Source organism: Homo sapiens, chromosome 3 (genome assembly GCF_000001405.40).
Source record: "Homo sapiens chromosome 3, GRCh38.p14 Primary Assembly".
Classification (NCBI taxonomy): Eukaryota; Metazoa; Chordata; class Mammalia; order Primates; family Hominidae; genus Homo; species Homo sapiens.
In genome coordinates, this window is record NC_000003.12 from 183,787,111 (window position 1) to 183,805,833 (window position 18,723).

An 18,723-nucleotide genomic window follows, 5' to 3' on the forward strand; every position below is an offset into this window, starting at 1 on the left:
TGTCCGGCTAATTTTTTGTATTTTAGTAGAGATGGGGTTTCACCATGTTGGCCAGAATGGTCTCAATCTCCTGACCTCGTGATCCACCTGCCTCATCTCCCAAAGTGCTGGGATTACAGGTGTGAGCCACTGCGCCCGGCCTGTGATAACTCCTTTTAACTTTGTGAGGAACTGCTAAACTGTTTTCCCAAGTGGCTACATTATTTTAGATTCTCACCAGCGATATACAAGGGTTCCAGTTTTTCCACAAACTCACCCAAACTTGTTCTTGTCCTTTTTTTTTAATTATAGCTATTGTAGTGGGTGTAAACTAGTATCTCATTGTGGTTTTGATTTGCGATTCCCTGTTAATGATATTGAGCATCTTTTCACGTATTTATTGGCTATTTGTATATCTTTTATCCATTTACATCCTTTGCCCATTTTTTAGTTGGTTGTCTTTTAATCGTTGAAGTGTAGGAGTACTTTATATATTCTAGATATGTCTCTTACCAGATTTGCAAAAATTTTCTTGCACTCTGAGCTGTCTTTTCACTTTCTTGATAGTATTGAACCACAAAAGTTTTAAATTTTGGTTTTCATTCCTTTTTAAATTTTTTAAATTAGGCTGGGCGCAGTGGCTCATGCCTGTAATCCCAGCACTTTGGGAGGCCGAGAAGGGCGGATCACGAGGTCAGGAGATCAAACCATCCTGGCTAACAAGGTGAAACCCCCGTCTCTACTAAAAATACAAAAAAAAAAAATTAGCGGGGCGTGGTGACGGGCGCCTGTAGTCCCAGCTACTCAGGAGGCTGAGGCAGGAGAATGGCATGAACCCAGGAGGCAGAGCTTGCAGTGAGCCGAGATTGCGCCACTCCACTCCAGCCTGGACAGTAGAGCGAGATTCCATCTCAAAAAATATATATAAATAAATTATTATGGGTACATAATCAATGTGGATATTCACAGGGTACATGTGATGTTTTGATGCAGGCATACAATGCGTAATAATCGCATCAGGGTAATTGGGGTATCTGTCACCCTAAGCATTTATCTTTTTTTTAAACCAATTGTATTCTTTGTGACTGTAAAATATATAAGAAATTATTGTGAATTTTGGTCACCCTGTTGTGCTATCAAATACTAGATCTTACTCATCCCTTCTAACTATATTTTTGTACCCATTAACCATCCCCACTCCCTCCCTCCCTGCTGTTGGCCTTCCCACCTTCTGGTAACCACCATTCTTCTCTCTGTCTTCATGGGTTCAGTTGTTTTAATTGTTAGCTCCCACATGAGTGAGAACGTGTGAAATGTGTCTTTCTGTGCCTGGCTTATTTCACTTAACATAATGTCCTCCAGTTCTATCCATGTTGCAAATGACAGGATTTCATTCTTTCTTATAACGGAATAATATTGTATTGTGTATATGTACCACATTTTCTTTATCGTTCACCTGGTGATGGACACTTAGGTTGATTCCAAATCTTGGCTATTGTGAATAGTGCCGTAATAAACATGGAAGTGCAGACGTCTCCTCATATACTCATTTCCTTTGTTTTGGGTATATACCTAGCAGTGGGATGTGGATCATATGGTAGTTCTATTTTCAGTTTTTTGAGGACCCTCTGTACTGTTCTCTATCGTGATTGTACTAACTTAGATTCCCACCAGCAGTGTACGAGGGTTCCCTCTTCACATCCTCGCCAGCCTTTTGGATGAGAGTCATTTTAACTGGGTGGGATGCTTTCTCATTGTAGTTTTGATTTGTGTTTCTCTCACAATTAATGATGTTGAGCATTTTTTTATATGCCCCTTGGGCCATTTATGTGTCTTCTTTTGAGAAATGTGTGTTGAGATCTTTTGCCCATTTTCAAATGAGATTGTTTGGCTTTTTTCTATAGAGTTGTTTGAGCTTCTATATTCTGATTATTAATCCCTTGTCAGATGTATATGTAGTTTGCCAGTATTTCCTCCCATTCTGTGGGCTGTCTCTTTGTTGATTGTTTTCTTTGCTGTGCAGAAGCTTTTTAACTTGATGTGATCCCATTTATACATTTTTGTTTTGGTTGCCTGTGCTTTTGAGGTACTACTCAGGAAATCTTTGCCCAAACCGATGTCCTGGAGAGTTTCCCTAATGTTTTCTTGTAGTAGTTTCGTAGTTTGATGTCTTAGATTTAACTCTTTAATCCATTTTGATTGCATGGTGAGAGCTAGGGGTCTAGTTTCATTCTTCTGCATAAAGATATCCAGTTTTCCCAGCACAAGTCTTTATTAAAGTCCCAACTTACCTATTTTTCTTTCATTGCTTTTTCTTTTGATGTCACATCTGAGAAACCATTGCCTAATCCAAAGCCACAAAATTCAAGCCTTTGTTTTCTTCTAAGTTTTATACATTTAGCTCTTATATTTAGGTTTCAGATTCATTCGAGTTAATTTTTTTTTTTTTTTTTTTTTTTTTTTTGAGACAGAGTCTCGCTCTGTCACCCAAGCTGGAGTGCAGTGGCGCGATCTCGGCTCACTGCAACCTCCACCTCCTGGATTCAAGTGATTCTCCTGCCTCAGCCTCCTGAGTAGCTGAGATTACAGGCACCCACCACCACGCCCAGCTAATTTTTTTTTTTTTGTATTAGTAGAGATGGGGTTTCACCATGTTAGCCAGGAGGGTCTTGCTCTCCTGACCTCGTGATCCACCCGCTTTGGCCTCCCAAAGTGCTGGGATTATAGGCATGAGCCACTGCACCTGGCCGCTCTAGTTAATTTTTGTACGTGGTGTGAGGTAGACACCAAACTTTATTCTTTTTTATGTAAATATCCAGTTGGCCTAGAAACATTTGTTGAAAAACCATCTCTCAATCGTCTTGGAAGCCCACAGACTTGAATGATGTGGCTTGACTTCTCAAGCTTCATCTCCTGCAGCTGCTGCTTCCCCGTGCCTCTTCACAGGTGACACCACTCTGCTTTGCAGCTTCTTGAACATACAATGTTCTTTCATGCCTCACCAACTTTCTACATACTCTCCTCTGCCAGGAAACACTGTCATCTCTCCCTTTCTCTGTCTTAAATCTGGAAGATTCCTCTAAAGTGCCTAATGTTTTACCTGAAGCTTTTTCCTGTACCCTCCTGTTTCTATTCCTAGGCAGAAGCAGTGCCTTTCTTCTTGGTTGTGTTGGTGACATTTGCCTGTGCTTGCCGTAGCATCATTATACTTAGGTGACTGTTTCCTTGGTCGCTTTTCTCTCAGAGCCTTAGCACTTAACCATTATGCCGGCCATGTAGTAGATGTTTGTTCAATGAAGTGACAGACTGTAGATGTTTGTTCAATGAAGTGAATCATTGTCATGTGTTCTTAATAAAGCTCATTTTTAGTCCATGTGTATATTCTGAGAATATGTCCTCCTAGTTTTTTGGTGATGAAGTTGCCTTTTATAAAGGGATATAATAGGTGGTGAATTTTAAAAATATGATGACCCCCATGATACTTCCTTGTTTTAAATTTTTTAAATTTTCTTGGTCCATGAAATGTAAAGGTATAGTAACCACTGAACTAGAGAAGTAATCTTTTTTAAATGGTATGGCATTTACTAAGTAGTCATTAACACCTAATAGATGATATTTAGTGTGTGTGCTGTGTGGCCGTCACCGCCGTCAGTCATCACTCTGCTTTCTTCCTGAACTGTGTTGTTTCGGACCCCATGGGTGAGCAGTCTGAAGGAATGGCTCCCGTGTCTTCATCTACGGTCAGTTCTGTAACGAAAACTTCTGGGCAGCAGCAAGTGTGTGTGAGCCAGGCCACCGTGGGAACCTGCAAGGCTGCCACCCCCACCGTCGTCAGCGCCACGTCCCTCGTGCCTACACCAAACCCCATCTCTGGGAAAGCCACAGTATCCGGTGAGTTGCATTGTGATATTATTTCTCTCTCTTTTCTCTCATTGGGCTGGAATATTTTTGTTTGTTTGTTTGAGATAGCGTCTCACTCTGTCGCCCAAGCTAGAGTGCAATATCACAATCTCGACTCACTGCAACCTCTGCCTTCCAGGCTCAAGCCATCCTCCCACCTCAGCCTCTTGATTATCAGGGACCACAGGCACATGTCACCACACCCAGCTAATTTTTTGTGTTTTTGGTAGAGATGGGGTTTCACCACGTTGCCCAGGCTGGTGTTGAACTCCTCAGGTCAAGCAGTCCACCCACCTCAGCCTCCCAAAGTGCTGGGATTACAGGCGTGAGCCACTGTGCCCAGCTATTTTTTTGGAGGGTCTTAAGCAATATTTTGTATGGTAAATTGTTAAAAGTAATTAACCCAGCAGCATTTTCTGAACAGTTGCTTTTTAGATGAATTATTTTTGTTTAAAATCTACGTATCAGATTTTGTCTGAGACTTTAAATTATCATTTGAAAGTTACTATTTGAATTTTTGAATGATATAATAAACCCTTAGCCACGCAGAACCCTACTGGGTATTTTAGCTTTTTTTATAACGTAATTTTGGGGAGAGCCAAGAGTTTGCTTTCCTTAAAGTACTAATTTCTTTTTTCCTATAATCAGTGTCGAATAGAATTCACTATAAAATGTATACCTTTCTTTGCTTTTATAAAGTATATAAAATATATCTTAGCCTTGTTGACTCCAAGTCATAATTTTTAACATTAGTTATTATCTTGGCTAGTGTTAGAGTGATAGGCTGGAGATCCAGTAAGAGCTATGGTGTCTTTGTGCCTGCACTAGAGGGCCTCAGAAAAGTGTACCTTTTGTTTCTGAGTAACAGAGAGCACACATCCTGAGACCACATTGCCTTAGTTGAAGTGATTTGCTTCAGTTTCTCAGCTGTAAATGAGATTGATAATAATACCTACTTCATAAGGTTGAGAGGTTTAAATGAGTTTGTAATATATCAGTGCTTAGAATACTGTCTGGTGTGTAGTGGCCATTATATAAACAATTGCCACTGCCATTATCATGTGTGATCATTTTTGTTGTTAGTCCATAATCCTTTATCTGCAATTCTAAAATCCCAAAAGCTGTGAAAACCGAAGATTTTATTTTTTTAAATTTTACTTTAAGTTCTAGGATACATGTGTAGAACGTCCAGGTTCGTTACCTAAGTATACATGTGCCATGGTGGTTTGCTGCACCTGTCAACCCATCATCTAGGTTTTAAGCCCCACATGCATTAGGTATTTGTCCTAATGCTCTCCCTTCCCTTGCCCCGCACCCCCCAACAGGCCACGGTGTGTGATGTTCCCCTCCCTGTGTCGATGTGTTCTCATTGTTCAGTTCCCACTTATGAGTGAGAACATGCGGTGTGTGGTTTTCTGTTCCTGTGTTCGTTTGCTGATGAGAATGATGGCTTCCAGCTTCATCCATGTCCCTGCAAAGGACATGAACTCATTCTTTTTTATGGCTGCAAGATTATATTGTATTGTACTGTATTATTATTATTTTTTTGATGGAGTCTTGCCCTGTCGCCCACGCTGGAGTGCAGTGGCATGATCTCGGCTCACTGCAACCTCTGCTTCCCGGGTTCAAGCGATTCTCCTGCCTCAGCTTCCCGACTAGCTGGGATTACAGGCACCCGCCCTCATGCCTGGCTAATTTTTGTAGAGACAGGTTTTTACCATGTTGGCCAGGCTGGTCTTGAACTCCTGACCTCAGGTGATCCGCCTACCTTGGCCTCCCAAAGTGCTGGGATTACAGGCATGAGCCACCATGCCCAGCCAGAGATTTTATTTTTTATAACTAATTTTAGGGCACAATTTGACCTCCATTGACAGCCTGTTTGTATTACTTAATGTGAATATTTGTGTGTTTTGCCATAGAATATTGATGTATTTGATTACATCATACTGTCTCAGCTGCCAGGAAGCTAATATAATATATGGCTTTGCTTCTCAAACTTGAAAGTTCAGTTTTGTTTTTGTTTTTCTATAATCTGGTATAGACAGATACTTCTGTAAAATATAATAAAAATGTCGCAGCACTATCGAACTGTTAAAGTTTCTAAATACTGTATTATCTTGTTGCAGATTGATACCAGCCAGCATACGGCTGGCACTGGTCTACCGGAAAAACTGAATATCACCGAGATACACACACACACTCACGCATGCAGACAACACCCCTTACTGCCTTTGGATAAGAGGCTGTGGATGTTGTTGTTGTCATTACTATTATTACTTCATTCATATGTAGCTCCACACCAGGCCCCTTGTGTCTTGTTTGGATAGAGAACAAAAAATTAAGGCTGATTATATTTTTCTCTTGATTTCTACCTCCCTGTTAAAATTGACCAACTTCTAGTATAGGGAGTACTTGTTCTCTACTAACTGTTTTATTTGAGGCCCTGTGTTGGATACTGGAGTAGAAATTGTAGAAATAAAAGGAATTATTATAATAATGAATACCTTGTCTGTTTTCTGATCATGTTTTTGGCATGCAATAGATGAAGTCTCCCTGCTGTAAGTTCTAGTTTCCTAAGATGCTGCTGATGGAACTTTCTGTATCACATTTTCTTTCTTTCTTTTTTTTTTTTTTTTTTTTGAGATGGAATTTTGTTCTTGTCGCCCAGTCTGGAGTGCAGTGGAACAATCTTGGCTCACTGCGACCTCTGCCTCCCGAGTTCCAGCGATTCTCCTGCCTCAGCCTCTTGAGTAGCTGGGATTATAGGCGTGTGCCACCACGTCCCACTAATTCTTGTATTTTTAGTAGAGATGGGGTTTCACCATGTTGACCAGGCTGGTCTCAAACTCCCAACCTCAGGTGATCCGCCCGCCTCGGACTCCCAAAGTGCTAGGATTACAGGCGTGAGCCACCGCACCCAGCCCACATTTTCATAACAGGATCAAACTATTTCCTACTTAAAACCAGCAGTTTTTCAATTAAGTTTTTTGTGTGCATCGTAAACTGCATTAAACTTAAGGTCTCATTGGGACAGAAGCTGCGTGAGCAACGGAGAGAGCATAAGGAGATTCTGTCAGAGCACGCAGGGGCTGTGTGGGGTGTTGGAACTTTGACTCTGGGGGAAGCCACTGGAGGGTTTTAAGCTAAGGTGGAATATGATCTGCCTTACCTTTTAACAGGGTCATTGGTGCAGTATTGACAGTAATTTCTGGGGCACAAGGTGGAAGCAGGGAATGGACCAGGAAGTAGACACTAAGAAAGAAAATTTGATGATGTATCAGGGAACTCTGGCCAGACAAGGATTTTTCCCAGAAGTGAAGGGCATGAACTGCTACTTTCAAAAGGCACAGTGTAAAGAAATGGAAAATTTCAGAAATTACATTATCATTGAGCTTCTCAGTGGCAGTGCTAGAAGCTAGCATACTGCTGCTTTTCAAAATGCAAGAACATTACTTTCAGTCTAGAATTCTCTAGTCAAGGAGATCATTACAGAGTGAGGGTAGAACTATTTCTGACAAAGTTTGAAATGTATTTCCTGTGTACCCTCTCCAAAGACATTCCTAAAATATGGGATGGGGTTATGTCCCAGTCAGCTGTTGTAAGGTGAAAATATTCTAAGTGTTAAAAATGCGTGACCGGCTGAGGGCTGTGGCTTGCTGCCACTGCCCAGCATCACGAGAGAGGTACAGTTTCTACTGAGTGCCTGTTGCTTTCATACCATGCCAAAGTCAAAAACTCCAAAGTCAACCATTGTAAGGGAACATCTGTATAGGGAAGAAAGGGTATATAAGTGCCGTAAAGGGGGCACTTTTTAAGGCATTTATACCCTTTTCTGGGCCCCATCTAGGGCTAGATTTGACTTTGACTCTGGGGGAAGCCACTGAAGACCCCATCTAGGGGCTGGGTGCAGTGGCTCACGACTGTAATTCCAGCAGTTTGGGAGGCCAACGCAGGCAGATTGCTTGAGCTTGGGAGTTTGAGACAAGCCTGGGCAATGTGACAAGACCCCATTTCTTAAAAAAAAAAAAAATTAGCTGGGCATGGTAGTTGTGCCTGTAGTCCCAGCTACTTGGGAGGCTGAGATGGGAGGATTACTTGACCCTGGGAGGTCGAGGTTGCAGTGAGCCATGATTGCTCGCATCACTGCACTCCAGCCTGGGTGAAAGAGCAAGACACTGTCTCAAAAAAAAAAAAAGAAAAAGAAAAAAAGAATAAACCATCTACCCTAATAGTAAATCAGTAGGTAAAATTAAAAATTGATGAATCAAGGCCTACAACATATACATTCCTTTTTAAATTATTTTTATTTCATTTTTAGAGCAGAGTCTTGCTCTGTTACCCAGGCTGGAGTGCAGGGGCATGATCATAGCTCATTGTAGCCTTTGAACTCCTGGGATCAGGCTGTCCTCCCACTTCAGCCTCCCTAATGGCTGGTACTACAGGGGCATGCCACCACACGGGACTAATTTTTTTTTTTTTTTTTTTTTTTTTTTTAGAGACGGGGTCTTGCTTTGTTGCCGAGGCTGGTCTCAAACTCCTGGCCTCAACCAGTCCTCCCTTCTTGGCCTCCCAAAGTGCTGGGGTTACAGGTGTAAGCTGCTGCACTTGGCCCTACACATTCTTTTACATATACTGAGATAAACATTAATAAAAAGAACCGACAGGGATTAAAGTGGCTACCAGTAGGGAACTAGATGAAAATAGGGAGGTGGAATGGGGTTGGCTATATTTAGTTATAAGCCTTTTAGTACTTTCTAACTTGTCAGCTGATGAGCATGCATAAAAATACGGGAACTTCAGATCATTGTTAAACTCCTCAAGATCCTGTCTCTGGAAGTATTACTACCTGATGATTTAACACTCTTCTATTCCAAAGAAAGATTTTGTTTATTTAAGGCCTTGCTCTAGAAAGTATTTAAGATTATTCCTTTCCTTAGCTCAGACCAGCTGCTTTCCGGTGCCTTAAAGTATCTTTAGCTCTTGATGCTGGGTTTTTTTTTTTTTTTTTTTGAGACGGAGTTCCGCTCTCGTTGCCCAGGCTGGAGTGCAATGGCGTGATCTCGGCCTACTGAAACCTCCGCCTCCCGAGTTCAAGTGATTTTCCTGCCTCAGCCTCCCAAGTAGCTTGAATTACAGGCACCTGCCACCATGCCCGGCTATTTTTTTTTTTTTTTTTTTTTGTATTTTTAGTAGAGACAGGGTTTCACCATGTTGGCCAGGCTGGTCTCGAACTCCTGACCGCAGGTGATCCACCTGCCTCAGCCTCCCAAAGTGCTGGGATTACAGGCGTGAGCCACCGCACCCGACCACTGTTTTTAAGTATTTCTTAAAATGTGTTTGTATTGTTTGTGCCTTGTATGCTCCTTCACACTAAAGGCCCTTTTTGATTTTTTAAATGGCCCTCTGAATGCCTAGAACAGTTTTACGTGGAAATGGGAATATAGAAATCACCTTTAAGATAAAATGAGAGAAGGTGATCCTTTCTAAAACGATAGAGAACATCTGATGTTTGAAAAACAAAGGCTGCTGCACAGAGGTAGGAAACGATGAGGTGTGGTGTGTAGACAGATGCACATACTAGATATGTAGGGACAGTGGGAAAGAGATGCGCATACATTGGCACCAGATTAAAATGGACCCTGAATGCTTGAAGCTAATTTTGGAAATACGTTTTAGGCAGTCAGGAGCCAGCATAGGTTTTTAAGTAGGAGAATGACAGTGTTTCACATCAAAACACGGAATTTTATATCCAGAGCTATGTACAAAATCCAAAATTTTGTACACAGAAGAGCTATGTGCAAAATAAATAAATTGTCATAGAAAACAAACATGGAAGAGTACTATCTGAAAACATTAGTATTGATTTTCTCTGCGGTAGGACTTTGGGTGACTTTTTATCCTTTTTACTAGCAAAAATGTGTTACTTCATGGTTGTGGGACGAGGATACTTAATCATTACGGGCAGGCACAGTGGTTCACATCTATAATCCCAGTGCTGGCCAGGCGCGGTAGCTCACGCCTGTAATCCCAGCACTTTGGGAGGCCTAGGTGAGTGGATCACTTGAGGTTGGGAGTTCGAGACCAGCCTGGCCAACATGGCGAAACACTGTCTCTACTAAAAATACAAAAATTAGCTGGGCATGGTGGCATGCGCCTGTAATCCCAGCTACTTGGGAGGCCTAGGCAGGAGAATCGCTTGAACCTGGGAGATGGATGTTGCAGTGAGCTGAGATGGAGCCATTGCACTCCAGCCTGGGTGACAGAGCGAGATCCAACTCTGAAAAAAAAAAAAAAAAAAAGCCCAGTGCTTTGGGAGGCCATGGTGGGAGGATCGCTCGAGGCCAGGAGTTTCAAGACCAGCCTGGGCAACAAAGCGAGACCCCCATCTCTACAAAAACAAATTAAAAATTAGCTGTGTGTCATGGTATGCCTGTAGTACCAGCCACTCTGGAAGCTGAGACAGGAGGATCACTTGAGCCCAGGAGTTCAAGGTTACAATGAGCTATGATTGTACCACTGCGCTTTTCAACCTGGGCAACAGCCTGTCTCTAACACAATAAATAAATAAATAAATAAATAAATAAATAGGGACCAGGCATGGTGGCTCATGTCTGTAATCCCAGCACTTTGGGAGGCCGAGGCAAGAAAATCGCTTGAACCTGGGAGGCAGAGGTTGCACTAAGCCGAGATCGCGTCAGCCTGGGCGACAGAGCGAGACTCCATCTCAAAAAGTAAATAAACAATTATTGTCATGCCGATGTTTTATTGTGAAATCCACAGCATCTGTTGTCTCCTGCTTCTTGCTCTTTGTTTACTGGAAGGTTAAATGTCCTGGGAACTTCCTCCATGACAAAATATGGGTAGCACAGAGGATAAGAGACTTTCCCGAAGCACCTGACCTTCAACTTGGCTTTATCTTCCAATTTGTTCTAGGACTGTTAAAGATTCACTCCAGTCAGTCCAGTCCGCAGCAGGCCGTCCTGACGATTCCCAGCCAGCTCAAACCACTCAGCGTAAACACATCTGGAGGGGTGCAGACGATCCTGATGCCTGTGAATAAAGGTGAGTCCCTTGCCCACGGGTCGTCTGTGCTGTGGCTGCCTCCACATCTCCCCGCATTTACCAGGTGGTGACTGCTCTGCCTGTGTACAGCCACCCTTCAGCTGTCACGGTATTCCCAGCGCCTGTGTACAGCCACCCTTCAGCTGTCATGGTATTCCCAGCGCCTTGAATGCTAGGGCACCAATGCCAGGACTCAAAACCCAAATGTTCGTTGGCTTCTAAACAGCTGCCCTTATCTAAAGTTGAGTTGAGGGGGAACATTTTAAGTGTTTATAAGAATTTACATTAATTGGATTGTTGTTTTCCTTTCCTTTTCTTTTGAGACAGAGTTTTGCTCTGTCACCAGAGCTGGAGTGCAGTGGCAAGATCTCGGCTCACTGCAACCTCCACCTCCTGGGTTCAAGCGATTCGCATGCCTCAGCCTCCCGAGTAGCTGGGACTACAGGCGCGTGCCACCACGCCTGGCTAATTTTCGTATTTTTAGTAAAGATGGGGTTTCACCATGTTGCCCAGGCTGGTCTCGAACTCCTGACCTCAGGTGATCCACCCGCCTCAGTCCCCCAAAGTGCTGGGATTACAGGTGTGAGCCACTGCCCCTGGCCTGGATTGTTATTTTCTTAGTTTAGTGACAGGCTCCCGTTTCTACAGTTGAAGATACATCTCAGTTACCCTCATACCTAATAATCGCCCACTATTAAAAAGGGACTTTGCAATTCCTGTTGTCCTCAAGTTGCCTTTGTGCTGTTAGTCTAATGTGGGGTTGTCACCTGGAAGTAGATCACCCTCATTAAAAATAATTTTTGTATTTGTTATATCCCTCCCTCCTTTTTTCCCTTTAGTGGTTCAGTCATTTTCTACCAGCAAGCCACCTGCCATTCTGCCTGTAGCTGCCCCAACTCCAGTTGTCCCCAGCTCTGCTCCAGCAGCTGTTGCAAAAGGTACGTAGGATCTCACAGAGTTCTCGTCCAGAAGTTTTGTTACTTTTTTATTGTCGTTCACGTTCTCTCCTGATGTCCAGAAGCTTTATGCGGGACATTACCATAATCTGAATCTTTTGAATTTTCAGCATTTGTGAATCAGTCACTTGGCAAATATGTCCTAAATGCTCATATGGTAGACTTAACATTGAGGGAAACACAGAGATGTATAAAGGATCATTTCTGCCCTTCAGTAATTTATAATCAGGTTGAAAACAATTGCTGTAGATAGCAAGCAATCATTGATAAACACAAGACATTTGGCCAGGGAAATGATTGCTGAAATATTGCAGCTTGGGATGTCTGATCAGGGTTGACGGGGTGTGGAGAAGGGCAAGACTTTGTACTGAGTATGGATTATAACCTGGACTTTAAAAGAGTAGAGGTTTTTTAGCTGTGGGGAGTCAAGGGGTAGGCCAGATTAAGGGCACAGGAGAGACAGACTCAGCTTCCCCTTTGGGGAAGTGGCTAGCCAGTTAGAGGGACTCATTTGGGGAGTATACTCATGGTAAAGGAGGTTTAGGTAGGGGCCAGACTTTGGCGAGCTGTCAGTGGGAGACATGCCTGCCCACAAGAGTAGATCAGGATAGCACGGTGGATTAGAGCAACACGTGTGACATTGATAACACCAGTGTCCAAGCATAGGGGATCTGATTTTTGCTTTCTGCCTTGTGTCTCAGAACACTAAGATAATGCTGAAAGTTGATAAACTAGCTGGAGAGATGATATTGAAACGGTCCCAGTATTAGAACGTAGAACAAACCAGCATTGTACTTTAGAGTAGCATTGTTTTTTTTTTTTTTCTTTTTTTTTTTTTGTTTTGAGATGGAGTCTCACTCTGTCACCCAGGCTGGAGTGCAGTGGCACAGTCTCGGCTCAATGCAACCTCTGCCTCCCAGGTTCACGCCATTCTCCTGCCTCAGCCTCCTGAGTAGCTGGGACTACAGGCGCCCGCCACCACGCCCGGCTAATTTTTTGTATTTTTAGTAGAGATGGGGTTTCACCATGTTAGCCAGGATGGTCTTGATCTCCTGACCTCGTGATCCGCCCACCTCGGCCTCCCAAAGTGCTGGGATTACAGGCGTGAGCCACCGCGCCCGGCCCAGAGTAGCATTGTTAAATCACATGTGTGGGGAGGGGAGTGAGGAATCTTACATAGCAGTGTGGGTGGCCCTTTAAGAAATATCTAAGGAGCCACTTTATTGCAGCCGCCCTGTCATGAGGCTGGAGTTGTCCTGAGACCCAGGCTAACAGTTCTTCCCTTGTCTGATGACCCTGGGATGATAGGAGCCATCTCAGTCCCCTGGCTGTGTCCCCACAACAGCTGGAGTGGCAGTTTCCTTACTGAGCTTCACTGTAAGAGCTTTGTTTGTGCCTGCACGTGTCCTTCCACCACTGACCCCTAACAGCTGCCTCTTTGTTGCTCTTCCCTTGTAGTGAAGACTGAACCAGAAACACCTGGACCGAGTTGCCTCTCTCAGGAGGGTCAGACAGCAGTGAAAACAGAAGAAAGTTCTGAGCTGGGAAACTATGTCATTAAGTAATTCTTCCAATCTTTCCTAAAGGAATTCCGCTTCGGGTGTTTGTCACGCCTGTGACAGCTGAGTATGTGCAGAGTTGTGTGTGTGTAGCTCTAAGCCCTTGACGGGAGGAACTGTCTGTCCCCGTGCAGTGGACAAGTGTTACCACTTGATGCACAGCTGAGGGTCATCATTTTATACAGTGATGTGACTAGAGGTGGCACTTGATTTGTAGCCTTAGAAGCCTCAGGTGGGATTAGACCTCCCTTCAGTTGAAGTTGCCAACATGGGCTTTCTCTGCTGAGCCCGTAGGCACAAAATTTCTCCTGTTGCCATCACTCAGGTGTGTACACGCTTTGTGACTGGGTGTCCACACACCTGCCTCATCTTAGCTGCCTCTTCATGGGCTATATACACTCTTTGCTGCTTCTAAAAATGCTTCCTGAGGTTTCCTAATTTCTAAATCAGGAAGCCACTTCTGACCAGCTACTTTTAAGTATCTCAGACTGCTGGGGACAATAGAAACTTAGCCACTCTAACATGGTAGATGGAGGCGTGAACTGTAATAACCCTAAGATGGGTATACAGAATTTTTCTCCCCTAGTAGCAGTCACATTGCAAAAAGATTATATTGCTATTGAATTTTAAGGTGTAGATTAAATGTCTGTAATATGTGCATAATCTTCCATTCCTGGGATCTTAGTCTTGACATTTTCTTTTTAAGCATAGAACACCCCTCCTTTACAAAGAAGGTAATCTGTGGAAGGAAAGACATGCTAATATGATGGTTTTAATTATAATTCCCTCAGAACGGAATATATCCATTAAGTACATGGCATATATATGGCTATAGAAACTGCTACATGTATTTAATTTATTGCCTTAATTTTTTTTTATCTCTCTCAGGATAGACCATTTAGAAACTATCCAGCAACTCCTAACTGCAGTAGTAAAGAAGATTCCATTAATCACTGCAAAAAGTAAGACAATTACACTGAATATAGGGGTGCATTTTTGAAAGCTGTGAACTTAAGGTATTGAGTCAACTGAAATCACTTGGGATTGTAAATTAATATTGATATGGCGGTTACCTTATAAGGTTTCAGCTAGAGATACAGCCCATTTGCAAGGGTTTTAGAATTCACATCCAGTTAGTTTTTTATTGTTTTCACTGTGTTGATCTGTAGAAGGAATGTTTTACATTTTTCATATGTAAATCATAGATTGTTTTGTATGCAGTTAAAACTCTGTATTAGCATTTGGTGTTTATGAGTGAGGAAAGCATTTAGCGTTTGCCTGCAGTGTACCAGGTCCTGTGCAGGTTGGGTACGTTCACTGTCTCATATAATCCCAGCCTCCTGTGTGATAGCTGGTGTCATCTCCACTTACAGATGAGGAAACTGAGGATAAGCAGGGTTGAATAACTTGCTCGAGATCACAGAGCCACGGGTGGTGAAACAGGATACAAACCTGGTTCTGTTTGACTCTAAGACCATTCATCTTTCCTCTGAAACTCAGTATTGCACAGTGTAGAAATGCAGTTTTTAAGACCTCCCAAAGTGACGTGCTGCGTCACTGCCCATCATTAGCTAGATTGAGTAAATTGCTGCTTAGCCCCAGTTGTTTTGACAGAATCAATAGCCCTTGCTGAGGGGCCAGCAGCCTACGGACACAGGAGCATGCTCATGGGCAAGACCACCATGCACACTCAGAGGGGAGCCACAAGGCAACCTCCACGCCACTCAGATTTGTAGGGCTCTGAACACATACACCAGGTACAGACCACCTACTTATTTTTTCCAACTGTAATAGCAAAGCAGTAATCTCTTTCTGTAGGGTAAAGTTTGGGGGATCATTTTGATGTCTCTCAGAGTAAACTTTTGGTGACAGTTTCCCAGCCTAACATAAGAAATTCAAACAAAAAAATCTCTCTTATATATGTGTGTGTGTGTGTGTGTGTGTATACATGTATATATATATACACGTGTATATACACACACACATATTTTTCTCTCTCCTTAAAAATACAGAATGTAAGAGCTGGAAGGTAGTTCAGAAACCATCTTCCCAGCTTTCTCAGTTTATAGATGAGAAAACCGAGCTGGGCTTGGTGGCTCACGCCTGTAATCCCAGCACTTTGGGAGGTTGAGGCAGGCAGATCACCTGAGGTCAGGACTTTGAGACCTGCCTGGTCAACATGGTGAAACCCCATCTCTACTAAAAATACAAAAATTAGCCAGGCATGGTGGTGCCTGCCTGTAGTCCCAGCTCCTCGGGAGGCTGAGGCAGGAGAATCGCTTGAACCTGGGAGGCAGAGGTTGCAGTGAGCTGAGATCACATCACCGCACTCCAGCCTGGGTGACAAAGTGAGACACCATCTACCACAACCACCTTGTGAGTTAATGGCGGGTCCAGGGCTCCTAGTGGAGCACCAGTTCCACAGACTTTAATAGTCTATGGCAGTGATTACCTTCTCTACCAAAGAAGCAAAGTGCCCAGGAAGGTGTGTTGCTTTGAGTACACACGGCAAGACACCTTCTCTTCTGAGGAGACGCCCTCCTGTGTTAGGCTGCATCTGAGCTTGCCCAGTAAGGAACATACATGCGATAAAGAGGTCTGAAGAAGTGACTGGCTTGCCTCCAGCAAATGACGTGTGGTTGGAATCGTAAGAGCTTTATTCAGGCTTTGCTGGGTGTGTGCATTCTAGGTGAAGATGCCAGCTGCTTTTCTGCAAAGTCTGTGGAGCAGTACTATGGCTGGAACATTGGAAAAAGGAGAGCCGCTGAGGTAACCCACATCTGCCTGTCCACTCTGGCTGCCTCCAGAAACCTTGTCTTATGGAACAGGGATAAGATTGCAGCATATTTGGTTGAAATATTTGATGGCAGAATATTTTCCTCAGTTAAAAAAAATCTCATTTTTCAAAGACCTGTATCCAGCTGACTTTCAGGCGTGCCTTCTTTTCCTGCACTGGCAGAAACATCCCTCACAGTTTCTAAATTTTTTTCTGAGTTTCAGAGTTTTAAATGAACTCGAGTATTGAGTCCTTACAGTGGGAAGGTGCTGTGGTGAGTTTAGGGAAAGCTGGGGTAGGAGGGGAGTGGGAGAGCGCAGGTGGAGACCAGGTGAAGATCCTTACAGTGGGAAGGTGCTGTGGTGAGTTTAGGGAAAGCTGGGGTAGGAGGGGAGTGGGAGAGCGCAGGTGGAGACCAGGTGAAGATCCTTAAAGGCCAAACCTAGGAGTTGCTGTTTTATTGTATTAGCATTAGGGAAGTTCGACTTTTTTTTTTAATGGGGAGTAACACAACCAGGTTTTTTTCTTTAAAAAAAAAAATTCTAACAGGTTAGGTTAGGATGGTGATTTATGGTTGCATGATACGTAGTTGTGTTAAGTGGAAGGATTTGATTATGGTTCCAAAAGAAAATTTTTTTTTTAAGTGGCAAAGAGCAATGACAATGCGAAAAGTCTTACAAGAAATCCTGGAGAAGAATCCGAGATTTCACCACCTGACTCCCCTCAAAACCAAGCACATCGCTCACTGGTGCCGCTGTCATGGCTACACCCCACCGGACCCTGAGAGCCTGAGGAATGACGGGGACTCCATCGAGGACGTGCTGACCCAGATCGACAGCGAGCCCGGTAAGCCTTCAGTGGCACTGCCCAGAGCGCCTGGCAGCCTGGAGGCATTTGCTGAGGTAGAGAGAGATGAGGACTTGGAAGAGTTGCTGTAGAGAACGAGAGCCTTTCCTACCTCCTGCCGTGTCCTTCGTGGGACCGTGCAGTCCCCATGTTGCTGTTTGTAGCCAGGTATCTCAAGTGTTGTGCCCCAGCCACACATGTTCCGGCCTGTGCCATGCAGCAGGCACACACTGTCCACTCAGGAGTCCCTGCTCAGCATCATTTCTTCTTTGAAGACTCCTAATCCATCTCCTTTCCTGCAGATTGAAGCGGCTTTCACATCTTTTGTGACCTTAGGGACACCCCCCATGCCCCAGACAAGTTTGTGCTACTTCTGTGAAGATGAGGCCTGTGTCTCATCTGTTACTTTATCTCCAAACCCAGCTCGGAGGACGCCACCCAGTGCGGGAGGCACTTGTGAAAACTAGTAATGTTGCAGGTGAAATGAATTGTTTCACGATAAAAAAACAGACCACTGGGCCGGGCGCCGTGGCTCACGCCTGTAATCCCAGCACTTTGGGAGGCCGAGGCGGGTGGATCATGAGGTCAGGAGTTCAAGACCATCTTGGCTAACACACTGAAACCCCATCTCTACTAAAAAAACAAAAAAATTAGCTGGGCGTGGTGGCCGCACGCCTGTGGTCCCAGCTACTTGGGAGGCTGAGGCAGGAGAACTGCTTGAACCAGGGAGGCGGAGCTTGCAGTGAGCCGAGATTGCACCAGTGCACTCCAGCCTGGGCAACAGAGCAAGACTCCGTCTCAAAAAAAAAACCACACACACAAAAAAAACAGACCACTGCTGCAGGGCCATGGGGTGTAGGAGCAAGGGATTAAAGGTATATAGGCAGAAGAAGCATTTTGAGTTTCACCTCAAAGAATAAGAAGGGTTGGGCCGGGCGTAGTGGCTCATGCCCGTAATCCCAGCACTTTGGGAGTCAAGGCAGGAGGATCACTTGAGCCCCTAGGAGTTTGAGACCAGCCAGGGCAACATAGCAGGACCTTGTCGCTACAAAAATTACAAAAATTACCCGGGTGTGGTAGCTCGCCTGTAGTCCCAGCTACTTGGGTGACTAAGGTGAGAGGGATCACTTGAGCCCGGGAGGTTGAGGCTGCAGTAAGCCATGAGCACACCACTGCACTCCAGCCTGGGCAACAGAGCCAGGCCCTGTCTCAATAAAATAAAAAGAAAAGTTGTTCTCTGCCCCCAGCCCCATTTATATAGAAAAACAGAAGCTCCACCCCTCCTGTCCAAGGAAACCTGGAGCACAGAGGTGGGGTTACTTTAAGACTTAGGGCCGGGCTCAGTGGCCTCCCACTTTGGGAGGCTGAGGCAGGAGGATTGTTTGAGCCCAAGAGTTCAAGACCAGCCTGGACAACACGGTGAAACCTTGCCTCTACAAAAAATGCAAAAATTAGCCGGGCATGGTGGTGCATGCCTGTAGTCCCACCTATTCGGGAAGCTGAGGAGGGAGGATTGCTTGAGCCCAAGAAGTTGAGGCTGCAGCGAGCTGTAATCATGCCACTCCTCTCCAGCTTGGGTGACAGCGCAAAACCCTGTCCAAAAAAAAAAGGGGGGGCAAGTCCCAGTTTTGCCATTAAGCTTCTT

General features: G+C 44.2%; 1 protein-coding gene across 23 annotated transcripts in view; it reads left to right on the top strand.

Annotated features, from left to right (window-relative positions):
• The window catches only part of YEATS2 (YEATS domain containing 2), a 114,828-nt gene that overhangs the window by 89,314 nt on the left and 6,791 nt on the right, over positions 1-18,723 (top strand). For 14 of the 23 annotated variants that reach the window (XM_047448527.1, XM_047448528.1, NM_001351370.2 and 11 more), the window contains 7 exons: positions 3,687-3,870; positions 10,813-10,941; positions 11,781-11,879; positions 13,356-13,458; positions 14,345-14,418; positions 16,146-16,225; positions 16,877-17,078. In XM_047448527.1, coding sequence (XP_047304483.1) covers positions 3,687-3,870; positions 10,813-10,941; positions 11,781-11,879; positions 13,356-13,458; positions 14,345-14,418; positions 16,146-16,225; positions 16,877-17,078 — 871 coding nt within the window. Of the gene's footprint in view, positions 1-3,686; positions 3,871-6,005; positions 6,381-10,812; positions 10,942-11,780; positions 11,880-13,355; positions 13,459-14,344; positions 14,419-16,145; positions 16,226-16,876; positions 17,079-18,723 lie in introns of those variants that run through there. The other 9 variants (XM_011512966.2, NM_001351371.2, XM_047448542.1 and 6 more) reach the window with 2 other exon arrangements.